This window comes from Homo sapiens, chromosome 1 (assembly GCF_000001405.40).
Source record: "Homo sapiens chromosome 1, GRCh38.p14 Primary Assembly".
Lineage (NCBI taxonomy): Eukaryota > Metazoa > Chordata > Mammalia > Primates > Hominidae > Homo > Homo sapiens.
In genome coordinates this window covers 212,448,247-212,465,950 of record NC_000001.11, presented here as the reverse complement: position 1 = coordinate 212,465,950, position 17,704 = coordinate 212,448,247, and the positions used below count along the sequence as shown (strand labels likewise).

General features: G+C 51.1%; 1 long non-coding RNA gene across 1 annotated transcript, besides 4 other annotated features; it reads left to right on the top strand.

The window, feature by feature from the left end:
- Nucleotides 1–3: 3 nt before the first annotated feature.
- On the top strand, nt 4–4,286 carry LOC124904506 (uncharacterized). The gene is made up of 2 exons (XR_007066870.1): nt 4–287; nt 3,285–4,286. It is a non-coding gene; the product is annotated as an uncharacterized LOC124904506 (long non-coding RNA).
- Nucleotides 3,445–3,959: an enhancer, noted in NCBI's record as "H3K4me1 hESC enhancer chr1:212635334-212635848 (GRCh37/hg19 assembly coordinates)". NCBI's record gives its function as "activates a minimal SCP1, AML or CMV promoter by ChIP-STARR-seq in naive H9 embryonic stem cells {active_cell/tissue: H9 hESC(naive)}" and the evidence as "EXISTENCE:reporter gene assay evidence [ECO:0000049][PMID:30033119]".
- Nucleotides 4,755–4,924: an enhancer, noted in NCBI's record as "experimental_3606 CRE fragment used in MPRA reporter constructs". NCBI's record gives its function as "activates a minimal promoter by MPRAs in K562 erythroleukemia cells, with activity observed for both the introgressed and non-introgressed 1:212634454 variant alleles {active_cell/tissue: K562}" and the evidence as "EXISTENCE:reporter gene assay evidence [ECO:0000049][PMID:34662402]".
- Nucleotides 12,171–12,340: an enhancer, noted in NCBI's record as "experimental_3589 CRE fragment used in MPRA reporter constructs". NCBI's record gives its function as "activates a minimal promoter by MPRAs in K562 erythroleukemia cells, with activity observed for the introgressed 1:212627038 variant allele {active_cell/tissue: K562}" and the evidence as "EXISTENCE:reporter gene assay evidence [ECO:0000049][PMID:34662402]".
- Nucleotides 12,419–13,238: an enhancer, noted in NCBI's record as "H3K4me1 hESC enhancer chr1:212626055-212626874 (GRCh37/hg19 assembly coordinates)". NCBI's record gives its function as "activates a minimal SCP1, AML or CMV promoter by ChIP-STARR-seq in primed H9 embryonic stem cells {active_cell/tissue: H9 hESC(primed)}" and the evidence as "EXISTENCE:reporter gene assay evidence [ECO:0000049][PMID:30033119]".

Genomic DNA, 17,704 nt, shown 5'->3' with positions numbered 1-17,704 from the left:
ACAAAATGGACCAAGACAGGCCAGGACCTCCCAAGCGAACCCTGCCCACGACTAAGTTGGTGACTCTCCCATTCTTCTCAAGCTCAGCCCAGAAGCACCAGGCCAAGGGCTGCCCCAAATGCCCCAGGAGAGCCCTGGCCCTCCTCCTCACCTGGGGACTGTGACCAGAGCCACAGCAGCACCTTGCGTGTCAACAGCACTCAACAGTTTTCAGAGCATACTGGCAGCTTCACAGTATGACCCAGTGAGGAAGGAGGAGTGGGGTGTCACCTCCATCTACACAGTGAGTAAGTAAACTGGGTCCCTTGGCTGGTGAGTGGGAGCCGGACTCGAGCCCGTGCCTTTGGACTCCTAGGTAAATGCTCTTTCCTTCAGAAAGTGGCACTTCCTGGTGTATGTCATGCATCTGGGATCCCTAGCCCCCTGGGTCTGAGGCCAGGGAAGCGCCAGGGTCCCATCTCTCCACACCCTTCCAGTGTGGCCCCCCGTGAGCGCTTGCAGCCTTGAGCTAGCCCTGGGCACTGCCTTCTCCAACTAGCAGCAAGCAGAGGCTCAAGGCTGGATTCCTGCAGAGACATGGCCACTGGGGTCCCAGCTTCTAGAAGGCGAGCATGGGCTCCTCCCTCCAACCCTCCAGCCCCTGGTTGACAGCTGTGAGTATGGCAGGAATAGAAGGCTGTAGGTTTAGAATAGGGTGAAGGTTTTCTAAGCTTTGAGGCCACAGAAGCACATTTTTCAAGTTCAACTAAGCACAATAGCCTAATAAAATTGGAGGAGCTGCTTGACTGATGTAGGTTTGGGGCTGGGCCCTGCCTCCCCCACCCCAACAAGGCAAACCCTCACTCCCCAGGCCCTGCAGTCACCTGCAAGGAATCCCTAGGCCACGTCATTGCATAGTTTGAAAACCATCCCAGAGTCCTCCTGGCTGAGATCTCCCTGTCTTGGGGGAGCTGTGTTTTGTTTAGGTTCAGCAGCTCCTCTCTGCCAATCAGAGTCCTTGAAACCCCATTTGGGGTGGCCTCCTTGGGCAAGCCAGGTAGCAGTGGGAGAATGATAGAAAGTCAGGGAGTGCGGAAAGGGGCAGCTATCTAATTCTTCTCCCCCAGAAATCCTGCCTGGGGCCCAAGGTGTCCCTTCACCCATGAGTTCAGGACAGTCAGTCAGGACGATAGATCAAAGGTCCAGAGGGAGGAAAAGAAATGATCCTTGCTCCTAGGAAGCTCCAATGAGGACTGATGGAAAGTATGCACACGCACAGGCACACGCGCGCGCGCGCGCGCGCACACACACACACACACACACACACACACACACGCCAGTTCAAACAAGAAATCCCACAGAAGCAAGCCCAGACCCCAGAGCCTGCAGGGCAACAGGCCTCCGAGTGGGCTGCTGACGCAAAGGCAGGGGCTGAGCCTGGTGAGGCAATGGGAGAAAAGTCTTCAAGGAAGTGGCATGCAGTGAGAAAAAAAAAAATGCCTGAAGCCGCCCCGGCTACCAGGAAGGCAGGTGCTACACATGGCCAGGGCCAGAGCATGCCAGACAGAGCGTGCCCTATGCCGGAAGTGGGGTGGAGCACTTTCCGGGAGGTGTCCAAGATGATCCCAGTTGGGATGTGTGAGGGGCAGCAGTGGGAGACAGGGCAGCTAGGCAGAAGGGATCCATAAGTCAAGGCATTTATCTGGGGGAGAAACCCACTTGCACCCAGCCCCTGCCATGTAGCAAATGTAAATTAAATGATGTTTGAATGCGGGAAAACAGAGAGGGAGGGAGGGAATGGATCCCTTAGCCGGATAATCCTTGTCCTTGAGGGAGGGAAGGAGGAAATTAAACCATTATCAATGAGGATTTATTTTTTGCTGAATGACTTTACTGGATAAGCTGTTTGGAGCTTGTAAAGATTAAACCCTTTAAAAGAGACAGAAGGGAGAATTCTGGAGAGATGAGTTCAGGGAGCTTCTGTTTTGGTGTCAGTTCCCTGCAGCTTCTGAATAAACACCTCACCCTCCCCAGAGGATAACCATAACCCAGTGACAAGGGCTTCCCAGATGAGCCACCCCTTTCCTCCCACACAGGTAGCTGGGGGCCCAGGAAACTGCAAAGGTAGACAGGAATCCGAGCTTCCTAGGAGGACAGGCCGCAGATGTCCCCGGAGGCACCAGCTGTCAGAGCTGGTATGCATAGAGCGGCTCAGAATCCCCCTTCCCCAGCTCAGCTCTGGGGCCTTTTTACCCTCACACCTCCTTCCTCCCCAGTGCAGGGAAGGCCCTAGTCCTCCTGGGAGCCAGTCCTCAGCACTGCCTGGCCAGGACCCTCGTCCTCCTTTGATCTTCCTGGAGAAAGAATGTTCCCCATGAGCTCTGTTTATCTACTTTCAGAACAGGCTGGGTCAGGTAGAGGATGAGGGGTCAAGTCAAACTTGGGGTGTTCCTAAGGGCAAGAAGGCTGCACTGTGCCTTACAGAGAGCGTCCGTGGGTTAGGTAAGCTTCAATCAGGCATGAATTATAGTCCAACGCTCATGAGCCAACAATAGAGAGTAAACGAGGTGTCTTTACGTGGATACAGACAAAGCAAGGTTAGGTATTAATGAGTAGTCAGTATCTTCTGGGCCCCACCTCACAGGCTGTGCCTCATGCTCCTTCTGAACCACTCCTCATCCTCACTGCAGCTAGACCTGTGGGGACAGGGCAAACAAGAGTGTCTGAGGCAGGGGCAGGGTGTTCAGCCACCTGTCAGCTCCGGCTGGGAGAGGGCATCCCAACGATATAGTGTCCAGCTCCAGTGGCAAGAGCTAGTGAGGCCGTGCAGAGTTTGGCCTCAGCTTCAGGTCTCGCATGGATCCAGCTTTGCAACCTGGGAAACTCCTACGGAGCTGCCCTGAGGCTGGGGCTCCTCTGCCCGTGCCGTGACTTTAGACAATGTGCATGGCCAAGCAGGGCAGCAGGCGGAGAGAAGCTTGTGGCTGCAGAAACCTTCCTTTCTTTGGCCCCTCCTCACGTATTCCTATCCACTCCACACCGCCCTGCCCTAGATGCCTGTAACCCATCCCCACTGAAACCCTGACTTTGGCTGCCACCTCATCTTCCACTGCCTGTCTGGTACTCCTGCCTTCACCTTTCCCTAGAGATTCCTGGAGGAACCCCTCAGTCTCAGGACCCCAGGAGGAGCAGAGGGAGCCCCTCCTTCTCACAGCCTGAGCCCTGAGCCCTGGGGGAGGCTTGCTGGGGTGGCTTCAGGTGTGGTGGGTCCCCCAATGCCTCACTGACCCCTTTTGTCTAACCAGGTGTGACATGGGCCTCTGTGACCCAAGCTGAGGACTAACCCACCGCTCATAACACGGTTTCTACGGGAAAACCAAGTTGTGAATTTTGAATTATCAGCCCACTGAGGGTGGAAGTCCAAGATCTGTGGTGATTTGGGTGCTGATGCAAGCCAGAAGTCACAGCCCAGAGCCTGCAGCGGCTGCACTGCTGGGTCCCCAGTCCTCGATGGGCACCAGCCAACCTGCCCTCTCGACCCTCCACAGCAACTCAGGCCCCCACTCCATGGCTCCCCTGCACCATCCTCATGCCTGGTCAACTCTTGCTGCCAGTTGCTGTGAGACCCAGCTCACCACTGGGCAAACAGAGCTTGCAAAATGCAGCCCATGCTCACCATTCATGGATTCCATATGTACAAATTCACCTACCTGCGAAATTGTATCTGTAACCCCAAAATCAATACTGGCTGCACTTTTGGGGTCATTCTCGGACACACACAGAGTGGGGAAGAATGAGGGCTGCTCAACACGCACATTCCCAGCGGGGGTGGAACAAGGCCCGCTCAGCCTGCTGGCTTCAGCTCCCACAATGCAAACAAGTGTCCTTTTCGCAGGCTATTTGGTGCCACATTTTTCATGCTTTTGTGCTTTGTGTTGGTGATTTCACTGTTTAAAATGTCCCCTAAGCATATTCGAAGCAACCTGGATGAGACTGGAGACTATTATTCTAAGTGAAGTAACTCAGGAATGGAAAACCAAACATTGTCTGTTCTCACTCATAAGTGAGAGCTAAGCTATGAGGATGCAAAGGCATAAGAATGACACAATGGACTTTGGGGACTCAGGGAGAAAGAGTGGGAAGGGGGTGAGGGATAAAAGACTACAAACTGGGTTCAGTGTATGCTTCCCAGGTGATGAGTGCACCAAAATCTCACAAATCACCACTAAAGAACTGACTCATGTAACCAAATGCCACCTGTTCCCCAATAACCTATGAAAATAAAAAAAAAAATTAATGTCCCCCAAGCAGAGTGTTGGTGTTTGTTCCTAAGCACAAGAAGGCCGTGATGTCCCATACAGAGAAAACACGTGTATCAGACAAGCTTCTTTCAGACACAAGTTATGGTGCTGTTGACCATGAGTTCAGTGTCAATGAGTCAACCGTAGAGAGTAAAGAAGGTGTCTTTAATAGAAATACACATAAAACAAGGCTATGTACTGGTTGTAACCAGAGGCAGGCAGAAATCTAACCCTGTGTTTCCCCTAGGCGCAAAGGTTCAGTATCTGCTCATTCAGTGTTCACAGAGACTTTATAAAACATAACTACCATGAAGAATGAGAATTGACTCTACAGACACCTGTGCACCTGAGCCCACCTGGATTAGTGAGTCAGAATTCCCTGGGCTTAGGCCCTGGCACCTGAGTTTTTCAAAGTTTCACAGGCAATTCTGATGCTGGGCCTACATGGGAACCACCAAAGTCCAACCTCAGAACAGCCTGCGGGTCCCTGGACAGAGCCAGGTGACAACCTCAAAGCATAACTTTTAGCCACAACCGTGAGGTGGTGTGTAACACAGCGTTGTGTGGTGAGCATAGGGCTGACTCAGTGTTAGGGATCTGGAGACTCTGAGTGACCTCAGGCAAGTCATCTGACATTCAGAGCCTCAGTTTCCCCACCCACAACATGAGGATAACAACACCTGTGCACAGTGGGGTGTTTGCATAGGGGAGACTCAGACATGTCTTATGGGCTGGGACCCCAGGAGTACACTGGTGTGAGAGACTAAGGATGAGAAATAACTCATCCCAAGAGAAAGACTAGAGGTCTTGGTCTGAGAGTGATGAGCACCCCGCTGGGGAGGTCCAGGAGGAGGGACAGCTTGGAGGACCGCTTGGTGCTGGTCACTCAGGTCAGCCTCTAGCCTAGTCCTTGAAGGCTTGAGCCTAAGGAGACTACAGGGAAGGCTGCTCGCCCAAGAATCTTGGTGAGACCCAGGGAGCACACGGCCATGCAGCGTCAGAACTGACATGTGGCCCAGGGCAGATGCACGTGTCTCCCCTCCAAGGAGGGCGCCATGCACCACGGCAGTCCGGGACACTCTGTGGGGGAGGAAATCTTCACAGGCAGCATCCCTCCCTCTACCTGTGATGTAGCACCTTCTCGAGCTTTGGAGGCACTGAGGGCAGCTCCTGCAGATATCACCCCAGATCGCTGGAGTTGGGCAGGTGAGGAGTGAGCTCAGGTAGGATGCTTGCTGGGTCAAGCCCAAAAGGGAGGCCCAGAGGCCCTGCTCAGAGGCTGGGACAAGTGCAAAGCCTGAGAAAGACTGTAGTTCCTGTTTATGTGACCGGTTTCTACCCTAGACATGTATGGCTGGGGAGTGGGGGTCAGAATCAGCCACCTGTCAGCCCTGAGTGGCTGATTTCCACCTGATACTTTTAATAGCTGTGCTGATCACTATCGAAGAGTTTTAAAATGGTGCAGAGAGAGCCAAACACAGGAGCATTTTTTATCAGTCCTTTCAGACACAGCCCTGGCAGAAAAGGCAGAATTGACAGCAGGCTCTGAACTCCCACTGGTGGGCCTGGGTCCCACTGCCTCCCTCTACAAACCAGAACCAGGTGAGACCTATGGGTCTGCACAGCACTGACAAATTCCCCCAGTGAGCTAGTCCTGGCAGAAGAGGTGTGCCCGGGGCATCACGGTTCTCTCAGAAGCCTGATCTGTGCTGTATGCCAGCCATTGTTTACCCTCCCGGCCTGCCTTTCTGTCAACACTTATATTTTGCACAATGTTTCTTTGTTTGCTTTGGGTTGAGAAACTGTATTTTTTTCTTATTCACAATAGCCAAGATAGGGAAACAACCCAAATGTCCATCAACAGATGAATAGATAAAGAAAATGTGACAAATACATACAATGGAATATTATTCAGCCTTAAAAAAGAAGGAAATCCTGCCAATTGCAACAGCATGAGGAACCAAGAGGGTTTTATACTAAGTGAAAAAAGCCAGACACGGAACGACAAATACTGCATGATTCCACTTAAATGGGTATCTAAAATAGTCAGACTCATAGAAGCAGAGAATAGAAGGGCAGTTTCCAGGGGCTGGGGGAAGGGGAAATGGAGAAATGTTGCTCAATGGGTATAAAGTTTAGTTATGCGAGATGAGTAAGTTCTGGAGATGTGCTGTACAACATGGTGCCTGTAGATAACGATACAGAATTGCACCCTTTAAAATATGTTGAGAGGATAGATCTCATGTTTAGTGTTCCTACTACCAAAAAAACAAACCAAAACACAAAAGAACACAAGGAAATTTTTGGAGGCGATAGAGATGTTTAGTACCTAAATTTTGGTGATGGTATCACAGGTGTATGCATATGTCCAAACTCATCAAGATGTACTCTTTATATGTATGTGATTTTTTTGTGTATCTATTATACCTCAGTAAAGCTTTATAAATGATCAAAACAAAACTGTGTTCCCCCCACACACACCACCCCAATACAAACACAGAAGAGCTAGGCAAAAGGAAACTCTATAATGGCAGGGAACTGCTCTGATCCTGCCTGGTGGGCCACCTGCTTTGTGGAAGTTTTCACATCTAGTGTTCATTATTCTTTCTTCTGAGACTGTCTTCCTAGCCCCTCCCCTCCTCCCCCTCAGCCACACCCCCATCAGCCAGAGCTGCTCAGTCAGTCCTCGAGGAGGGCCATACATGTGTTCAGGGCTCCCAGCACTTCCTGCCACATAGCAGGTCCTCTGTGGATGTTGGGTTCCTTGTCTTTTCTTTTCTTTCTTGGGTTCACCTTGCAAAGGAGAACCAGTCAAAGACTCAGTCAAGTTACTTCAAGGAAAACAGATTTTCTCCATGAGAAAGACACTAATGGGGAAGGAAACAGAAACCCACGGCATCTGAGGCAGCAACCTTCTCTGTACCCTCTCCCAACGGCCCCAAGGTCTCCCACTCGAGTTTCTCTCCTCCCTCGGCCCAGCTTCTCCATCAGTTCTGCTCACACTTGGTGAGGGAGGGTGGGCATGGAGAAGGCCATGGCCTCTCCTCCTGGGAGCATTTTGAGACCAGGCCAGGCCACAGCTAAGGTGCAGATCAGCAGGGAGGCAGAGAGGGAGGCGTGTGCTAAGATGACTGGAACTGAGATGGCACCTGTCCTTTCTTCCTGAGATGTGGAGGCCCGCAGAGAGAAGAGCTGAGAACAGAATTACTGGCCTCTCCAAGGATAAGCCAGCCCTTCTTTCTCAGAGTAGAGCAGTTACTAACCACCGAGGGGTTAGACAACTGCTTTTGATCTCCCCAGGGCTCAGAAGGGCACAAAAGGCCCCCCACAGTCCAGGAAACTCATGTTAGGGGTTGGGACCCCTTAACACTAATGTCAGAGATGCTAAGAAGGTATCATGGAGGAAGCACTACCACCCCAAGGACGAGGCAGCAAAGGGGTGCATTTGGAATGATTAAAACTTAGAGACAGGAGCACCTTGTGGGGCTGGAACCAGACATCTGGTGAGGTGGGGGGTGCCTGCCGGCTGGTGTTGGCCTCTGAATTAGGGGTGAAGTTAGTTCTACAAGTGTTAGAAAGATTGTAAACTGAATTTAGCTGCTGCTATGGTAAGGAACTGCTGCTGCCGGGGTGAAGAAGTACTACCGGAGCCGCTTACAAGAACAGAAGTAAACAAGAAAAAGAGGGCTTCCCTCCAGCTTTCCAGTGTCCTTCTAGCACCCCCTACTGGCTGAATCCGATAGGAAGCAGCTGCCAAAGCCAAAAGTGGTTTGCCAAGTCCCAGCCCTACCATCAAAGAAGAGAGAATAGAAGAAGGACTAGAGTGACCAGGAGCTGAAGCCTGAGCCTGCTCTCATGCACACATGTGTGCACGCACACTTGCCTATGCTCACAGGTATACACCTACACATGGACCACAAGCGCCCTCTCCACAGATTTGATTGTGGGTCCTACGCTTTGGGTGTCACGCAAAGTCAGCAAACCTCAAGGCCTTGACTACAGAGACTTTTCTGATTCTGAAACTCCGGCCTCAAACATCACCCATCATCGTCCCATCCCCAAACAGCCACCAGTTTGAGTCCTTTCTGTAAAAAGGAAGCTCAGAGTTCTCCATCTCTGGAGAGATACCTGGGCTTTCAGGGAGAAAATGTCAACAGCAGCCACCCCATGTCTCCTGGAGGGGACTCCAGTAGAGGCCCAGGGAAAAGCAAGCTCTGCACCAAACTGCCCAGTGTGTAGTGAACACAACAGAGCTCATTTACCAACAGGAGGCACACACTAAACACATTCTTCTGGTCTCTGCTTAATCCCAGCTCATTCTGTCTTATTAGGTCCCTCTGCTCTCCTATTGTTTTCCACCACTGTGCATTGCTGTGTCGTTCAGAGCATGTGTCACAGTGTGCTTTTTTTTTTTCCAAAATGTGCTGTCTGTCTATCTCCTCCTCTAGATTGCCAACTCACAAGAGTGGGGCCATGCCAGCTTCTTCCACCCCTGCAGACTCAGGGCCTGGCACATCATAAGTCTCAAGTGTTTGTCAAATGAATCTATTAAAAAATAGAAAATGGCTCTAGAGGCATTGAGATAAATGGACAGGTGATGGATCTGTAGATTGGGGTGTATGCGACATAACGAACTCTGAGGAATGTTGTGGAAGGCAATTGCTCTCCTGTCCTACAAACCATCTCCAGATAAAGAGGACAGCAGGCAGGATGACTGCTCTGCCATCATGGTGTTTCTGCTGTGCTTGTGACTCTGTTCAGCCCTGTACATCCATGGAGATTAGGGCCTGAACCCAGGCTTCTCCCCTCATCCCAACTTCACCTCTGCTTCTTGGAAGGCATGGGGCTCATTGAGTGTTATAGCTGGTGGGACCCTATAGATTACAAAGGTGGCTCCACATCACCATCACCTGGGGAACATTTAAAAACATCAGTGTCTGGACACTACCACTAGTTTCCGATTCTTTGAGTTCCACAGTTCAGTGTAGCATAGTGGATGCCCAGAAACATGAACTCAAGTCCTAACTCTGCCACATACTGTATGATCTTGGCCAAGTTACTTGACTTCTCTCTGCCTCGATTTCTGGAGATGACAGCAGTATCAATCTCACAGGCTTGTTGTGAGGATCAAAGTCAACAATGTATGTGAAGCTCTTGGTGCAATGTCTGGCTCAGAGTAAATACTGAATAAAATGTAGCTATTATTGAAATTATTATCTCACAGCTACTTAGCGGCTGGCGTGGGATGAGCCTCCTGATCCTGGATCCAGTGTTCTTTCCAACACGTCACTCTGAATGTGCACACAGCCTGAGGTCAGACTCGGCAAGGCAAACATATAGTTGCTCTCCCTGGGACCCTTTAATTAAACCGTATGGAACAGAGAACTGCCCCTGAGAACCAACAGCAGATCTGACCCCTGGGAAGCAGAGAGCTGGAGAACACAGGAGTTCGGCAGTGCAGCTTTCAGGTCCTTTGGGAAGCCATTTGGCTGCTTCTGTTAGCATTTCATTATGGAAATACTGGGAACCAAAAATAGAAGTTCTTGAGGGAGCTTAATCCTCTGGGCTTTACAAAACAGCTGCTGGAGAGTTCCCGGAATTGACCACCAGGGGGCACTGTCGTCCCATGCAGGCAGCTGCTGGTGGGTCGGACCAGGACAGAAGTGTCCAAGAAAAAACCAACACCCTTCAGCAAGCTCCTACCCCAAGCCTGCCTTGCTGGGGACTCTGTGGCTGGGATCCCTGTGGATCTCCACAGCTCCTGGTCCTAGAGAAACCACTTTGCAACTCAGCCCACTGCTCTCCTCTTTGGGGACCCTTAAGAGCAGAGCAGGTTCCTGCATTTATTTTAATCGATCCTTCCTCCCACCTCACCCCAAAACCAGGACCTAGGGCAGTGCTGGACATATAATAAGCAAGAAATATGCATCTCCTTTGTTGATTAATGGATATGTGAAATCAGGTGCAATTGTTAAATTGTGGGACGTATCAAATAACAAAATTTCAATAAATTGAGCTGTAAAGGTCTAGTTTGCCTTTATTAGCAATTCATGAACTGGGCAGTATCCAGTCTACAAAATAAAAAGGAACTCCCATGAGCTGAGCTAAGGGCTGAGCTTATAGGCAGAAAAGGCTGAAGAAAGCCAAAACAAGAAATAAGATGCAGATTGGCCGTTTCAAAGTTACTTTCCTTATTGAGGATCTTGTTAGCCTAATGGGATATGACTATCAACTCTCTCCTGATTTCTCAGAAGCTCAGATCCAAGTAAACAGCTTCGTTTTTGGTTTCGTGGTGCGGAACCTTAGTGTGAGTGACTCCATTTTGGATGGGTCTGTTGGACCCTAATGCAGGAGGTCAGTCCAAATAATGGCCTCCCATACATTTTGTTTAACAGAAGGAAACTGCTTGATCTTTGAAGGAATGGCAGAGAGAGTGCAGTGGTGTGAATCAGACAGAGGTTATGAGTGACAGTTAAGGGGAGGGTCATGGATAAACGGGAAAGGGGAAGAAGTGAGAGGGCTCAGGCAGGAAGGCAACAGATGTATTTCAGGGATCCTGAGTAGTAAGAGATTCCTCAATGTGGAGGCCAAATCCAGAAATATGGGGGAGATTAGACAAGGGAGTCCCAGCCACAGCTCACATGGCCTCCAGGTGGGCATCACCGGCCACCACAGCCACTATGACCTCTCCTATCTTTGGGGTGGCTTGCAGCTGCCACCAGCAGGCTCTGAGCTCCCACAGGTGGGCCTGGGTCCCACGACCTCCCTCTGGGTGATGCCATGGGGCTTAGTACCCTGAGCCTGTATCACACATCCTTAGTCCGAGAGAGCCTCTCTCAAATGACAGCAGGTCTTGTTCACCACAGAATTCTGTGAAGACTAGAGCACAAGAAATACTTGTTAACTAAAGGATTAAACTATGTGTTAAAAAAAAAAAAAAAAAAAAAAAGCAAAACAAGGCCAGGTGTAGTGGCACATGCCTACAATCCCAGCACTTTGGCAGGCCGAGGCAGGAGGATTACTTGAGATCAGGAGTTCAAGACCACCCTGGCCAACATAGTGAAACTCTGTCTTTACTAAAAGTAAAAAAATTAGCCGGGTGTGGTGGCAGGTGCCTGTAATCCCAGCTACTTGGGAGGCTGAGGCAGGAGAATCACTTGAACCCAGGAGGCAGAGGTTGCAGTTTGCACCATTGCACTCCAGCCTGGGAGACAGAGAGACAGACAGACACACACATACACACACACACACACACAGAAGTAGAGTCTCTCTCCACAGGACCTCCAGGTACCTTCCCTGGCTATGATTTTAGAGTCTCTGCCACCAGCTCGGCATGCCACATCCTAATTCCAATGGCCCTGGGGTGGAGCTCCCTGGAAGGCTCGATCTTGAAGCACAACAGGGCAGAATGGAAAGTGGCCAGGCTGGAAGGAAGACTTGCCTTGGAATCTCAGCTCCAGCACCTCTCAGTTGTCAGAGGTGTAGTTTCCCTTGCAAGTTACTTATGCTTCCTAAGACCCAACCAAATGTTAGTACCACCTTGAAGAGAATAAATTAAGCCGCAAACATGGCATGCCAGCACCTGGCTCATGCTAGCCCAGTGCCGCTATTGCAATGACCATCAGCACCGACTTGGACAAGAGGCAGGGGCAGGGGCAGTGAGGCAGGAAGTAGGCTTCAGCTGGGAGAGGCAAGGACAGGGTAGAGGTAACTGCAGCCAAGGGGGCGGGGGGACAGCAGGGGAGCAAAAGCCTGGCTCACACACAGGGAAAAGACAGCAGCAGCCTGGCTGATCAGGCTACTCTGAAATAGCTGCACCCACCAGCCACCCACTGGAGACCTTAGGCTTCCGCTCCCTGACACCTCAGGGTCACACTCGCTCCAGGTTCTGCCTCCAGCCCCGCTTAGTGTCTCAGCTGCTGGATTTTCCCTCTCTCAGGATCTCCTAGAGCCTGGCTTCCTGTGGACGGTTTGCAGCCAGCTTGGCAATGCCTTCCCAGCACCCTCCCAGCCCGTGCTCCCAACTGTCACCCCAAGGGTTTAGCATGCAGAAGCCCCATGCCCTCTAATCATCCCAGAGAGGAGGTAGTGGTGACAAGATCTGAGCCTTGGGCAGCACCTACACTAAACTTTGGTGGAGGGGTAAACTTGCAAGAGCTAGGCCATGAGCCCGGCTGGAGGGCAGGGAAGCTGAAGACCTGGGCAGAGACCAAACTGTCGTGAAGGGGCTTGGTCAGCCCAGCACAAGGGGTCCACACATGCACACACGATATTAGACCCTGGCAGCAAGGCTGAGTCTCCCGCTGGCAGCTTCTGAAGTCCTCTGACTACCCAGATAAGGCACTGGACAGGGCAGGGCAGCCAGAAGAGGCCCTTGGTGACCCTACAGAGAGGGCGCAGGGGCAGCAGCCCAGGGACTGACGGGGCGGATGGTCTGGGCTGATGGGGCAGCTCCTCCAGCCCATTATTTTCCTTTGGGCTTCAGAGCAGGTGGTCTCCAGGAAGCCATGAGACTAGGAGAGGCAGCTCAGAGGGCACGCTGGCCAGCCAAGATTTGGAGAGTGAGCAGTGAGGGCGGCGTTTGTTTTCCTCCCAGCCTCGAGGCTTTCCTGGACCGCCCACCCTAGTTACCATTTGCTGTGGTGGTTGCCAGGGGAACCACTTACTATTTTTATACATTCCCCAGATGATGAAGCTGCAGAAATGCTCAGGCGAAGTTGGTCCAGGAGTAATCCTGGAAGCGATGCCCAGGCAGGCTCTGCTGGAAACTTGGCTGGAGGGTGGGGAGCCGCTCTGATGCTTCAGGAATCAGATGCACACCCCTGAGTAAGGGGTGAAAGAGGGCTGCAAGGAAGGCATGTGCCCTGGGTGAGGGAGCACCAATCCATCGCCTCATTCATTCATTCACCACGTGTCCATTTGCCAATGCATTCATTTTTATCTCACATCAAAGGTGCTGGGCTTGTGCTACGTGATACAGTTGTGAATGGGGCAAGTGCGTCCCCGCCTGGTGGGGAGGAAAACACAAAGTAAATACAATTACAGTTCAGTGAGATCTGATACCGCAGGGGCAAGTCAGGTACTGTGTGCCCACCTTGGCAGGGAGAGGTCTGAGAAAGCTTCCTTGAGGAAGTAATATCTAAGCCAAGATAGGGTTTTACATGCAATGTGGGCAAGTAGGAAGAACATTCCAGGCAGAAGAACAACAGCATGTGCAAAGGCCCAGGGGAGACTGTGAATACCGCACCTTCTGGAACAAAAGTCACTTCACTTCTGGAGTCAGGACTAGGGCCCAACCCAGTGGGAAGTGGAAAGCTGTAGAGACCCAAACCATCAGGGGGTTGGGGGTGAGACAAACTGCACCACAGTGGTACACCCAGAACACCAGCTATTAGGCCTCTGGCAGCAAGACTGCAGTCTGGGCAAGGCCCCTGGGAGAGAGGAGCAGGCTTTCCCACTGCCCTTGGGACTCTGGGAGAATCTATAGGGCACCTGGGAAACCTGAGACTCTGAGGCTGTACGAGGGAGTCTTCCATCGGAGGAGCTGAGTTAATGCTCTCAGTTCTGGGCTGGGCGGGATGTGTCCAGGGATGAGGAAGACAGAGGGCACTGTAGCTGCTTATCCGGACTTCTTCCAAACTCCAGCCTGTTGTCAAGACCCTGGACACGTGTCTAAATGCTTTCTGCTCACCTATGTCCCTGCACCTGCTGGGAAGTCCAAGATGCTCATCAGTGCAAGAGGTGGGAGGTGGGAGGTAGGATGGAGTAGAAGAGGAAGAAAGAGAGAGAAGCCGAACATCCCACAGGTGTCAGGAGCCTGCTGGGCATGTTACACACACAACTGCATCAAATTCTAGCATCAGCAAGGGAAATGAGTATTTTGGCCCTCATTGTAAAGATTGGGAAACTGAGGCTCAGAGAAGCTAAATTACTTCTCCATGATCATACAGGTGCTAAGTGATGAAACCAGGATTCAAAGGCAGATCAGTCTGACTCTAAAACCTGTCTCTGTCCACAAGGCAAATGTGATTTACTGCATGCACACCTGCTATTTGACCTCAGCACTGCAGATTCAAAGATTAGATACAGTCTCTTTTGTGAGAATCAAAGGAGATAATGTGGGAAGTAACCATGGGGGATTGTATTTTCCCAAAATGGCCCCATGCTCCCTGACCTTAGGTGAGACTTTGTGCTTGCCTGCCTTGGTGAACAGAAATGATGCTGCCTGACTTCAGAGGCTGAGGAGGGACAGTCCTGCCACCATGCTGTGAGAAGTTACCCATGGAGAGGAGTAGAGCTTCTGGCAGCCAGCACCACTCGCCAGAAATGTGAGTGAGCCCTCATCATTCCATGTGACACCCGCCACAGACATCAGGGGCAGAAAGGCAATGCCCACTGCACCCTCTCAGTCCCCGGCACACAAAATCTCTGAGCATCATGAGCGGCTCCATCCTGAGTGATGTCGTCATAGTGATGCCACTAAGTTCTAGGGCAACTGGTTACACAGCTGTCGTAGCTAGAATGAGAACTTTGTAAGCTGTAAAGTACTATGCATGTGTAAAATGTTATTAGTAAATCTGAGTTTGGCACAACAGGATGTGTCGGTATCTGAGGAAGTAAACTTGTGTTTCAGGCTGAGTTCTTCCCAAAAGCAGAAACTGCAACAAAGGTTTGCATGCAGGAACACACATCTAGAAAGTGATCCATGGGCTCAGGCATCAGGGACTGGGAAGAATGAAACTGGGAAGGAGGCTTGGCCAGTCTATGGCTGTGTTGTTAAGCTGACACCACTGTGGGCAGCTGAGGCTCAATATCACTGGGGGCCTTCTGAAGAAGCTGTAGAGTGAGCCTCAGGGCTGTGGGGAGAATGTGTCTACTCATCCCCTATCAGCTGCAGGTTGCCCCGAGAGGATGTTAATTCCTTGCACCTGCCGGTTTGCAGCTGTCCCAGAACAGCTTAAGCAGCTCTGCCTGGCAGAGAAGCCCAGGCAAGAAAGCTAAATCAGGCACTGAGAGATTACAGCTGGGCTGACAGGCTGTGAAATGGAGCATAAAAGATGACCGATACAACATGGCATTAAATAATCCTCCAGGCAATGATTGCATTTGATGTCCTGGACAGAGGCCCACAGGGCTAACTTCTGCCTGGTCGGTCACTTTGCCCACTGGCTTGCTCAGGCCTCTCCAGTCAAGCCTGTGGAGTTCCAGGCCTGCTTGAGCAAGGCCCTAGTGTGGCCCTAGTGTGCTGGAAGCCACCATCCATCAGAAGGCCAGCTGCATTCTCTGGGCCCTGCAGGTGATCTCTGGTCATCACAGTGATCCAGGGGAGGGCCTGGAACCAGGGCACTCATTGCCTCTCAGGGGCCAGGTTCCAGCCATGGATTTCCAGCTTCAGCCCCTCACAGCAGCATCTCAGGAGGCTGGCGGTGCCCAGTGGACCATGCTTTTTGGAGATTGGGGCATGAAAAGCAGGCTTCTGAAGGAAGCCAATGTAGAGGATGAGTTTGCTTTGTTCAGGCCCTTGGGTAGTGGTGGTGAGGAAACCCCCTGGAGCAGATGCCTAAGGTATGGGGTGAGCATCTTGGGTCCAGGATAGGGCTGGGGCCTGGGCCAGACTTTAGGCCAGGCGACCTCTGCACAGCCTCCACCTCTAGGGACCTGGTCTGCTGGTCAGACCCCTCTGCCCTGCTCTTCTTTGGGACAATCAACTCCATCACTTACCCTCTGGGGCATTTAATTCTTAGCCGTCTTTTTTGTTTGTTTGTTTGTTTGTTTGTTTGTTTGAGAGAATCTCGTCTGTCACCCAGGCTGGAGTGCAGTGGTACGATCTCAGCTCACTGCAACCTCCGGCTCCCAGGTTCAAGTGATTCTCATGCCTCAGCCTCCCGAGTAGCTAGGATTACAGGCACCTGCCACCATGCCCAGCTAATTTTTCTATTTTTTAGTAGAGACGGGGTTTTGTCATGTTGGCCAGGCTGGTCTCGAACTCCTGACCTCAGGTGATCCGCCTGCCTCAGCCTCCCAAAGTGCTGGGATTACAGGCGTGAGCCACTGTGCCTGGCCCTTAGCAGTCTTATTTCAATAGTTTGAAATACAGAAGCAGGCTCCACACAGCAAAACCTTGTTTCCTTTTCTCCCATTACATGGCATGGGGGCTGACCCCCAGCCATCTGCAAGGGGGGAAGGCTCTGTGCCCCAGGCCCCAGGAGCTCAGAGAGGGAAGTGTACTGATCAGCATTCTGGGGTGCAAGGAAACACGTTTCCTCTGAGAGGGCAGGGAGGGGCTATACCTCAGCAGAAGGAATTTAAATGTGGAGAACTTCACAAATTACACCAATATCAACAACACTCCATGCACTGAGCACCTTCTGCAGACCAGGCATTGAGCTTCCTGTTGGAGATGTTGAATTGGAACTTGTAGGGACTGGCAAAAACCCAGCCCCCTGCGCTCTCCCAACGTCCTCCCTCCTTCTTCATCCCAGGGTGGCATGAAGCCCTAGAGCCCCACAGCTGGGAGGAGGCCTTGACTCCGCTGCTGGTGCCGGTCAGTCCTCAGGTTTGCCCAGGACAGAGGGGTTTTGTTTTCCGGGATGCAGGACTTTCAGTGCTAAAACCGGGAAAGTCCCAGGCAAATCAAAGTTTGGTCACTGTATGTTGGCCAGGCTGGTCTCAAACTCCTGACCTCAGCTGATCCGTCCACCTCAGCCTCCCAAAGTGCTGGGATTACAGGCGTGAGCCACCACACCTGGCCAATTTTTTGTACAGACAGGGTCTCCCTCTGTTGCCCAGACTGGCCTCAAACACCTGGGCCCAAGTGATCCTCCCACCTCGGCCTCCCAAAGTGCTGAGATTACAGGCATGAGCCACGGTGCCCAGCACTTTTTTCTTTTGAACTATGACTCTCACATGATTTTCACTTCCACAGGTGGGGGTCCTCTGAGATAGTTTGTGTGTTATCTCCACAGGGTGATAGGCTGTGTTCTGGAAGGATGTTCAGGACTTGAATTTCAGTTTTCAGTCACTCTCACTGGATTCCCAAACTAGCCTAGTTTGGGACAAGAGATTACGAAACACTCCTTAGAAACACTAACTCATCTCAACTAAAATAGAGAGTGAATGAACCTGGTATGCTAAAGTGTTAATAATGACAAAATGAAAAATATAAAATAACACAAAATAATGAGGCAATCTCGATGGAATGGGCACATGTATCTGTGTGCCTCATTTTATGCAATGTAGGTATTTCAAAGAAGTTGTGTGTGAAATCAATTTCTGTGATCTGAATACTCTAAACCGGCCAAAGAAGCCTTGTTATTTAAAGAAATTCTGTAAGCAAATCTTTTTAACTGAAAAAGTAAGGAAACTCCTGTCTCAGAAATCATTTAGTATATTTTGCTTAAAGTGAAGCACACTTGTATTAAACT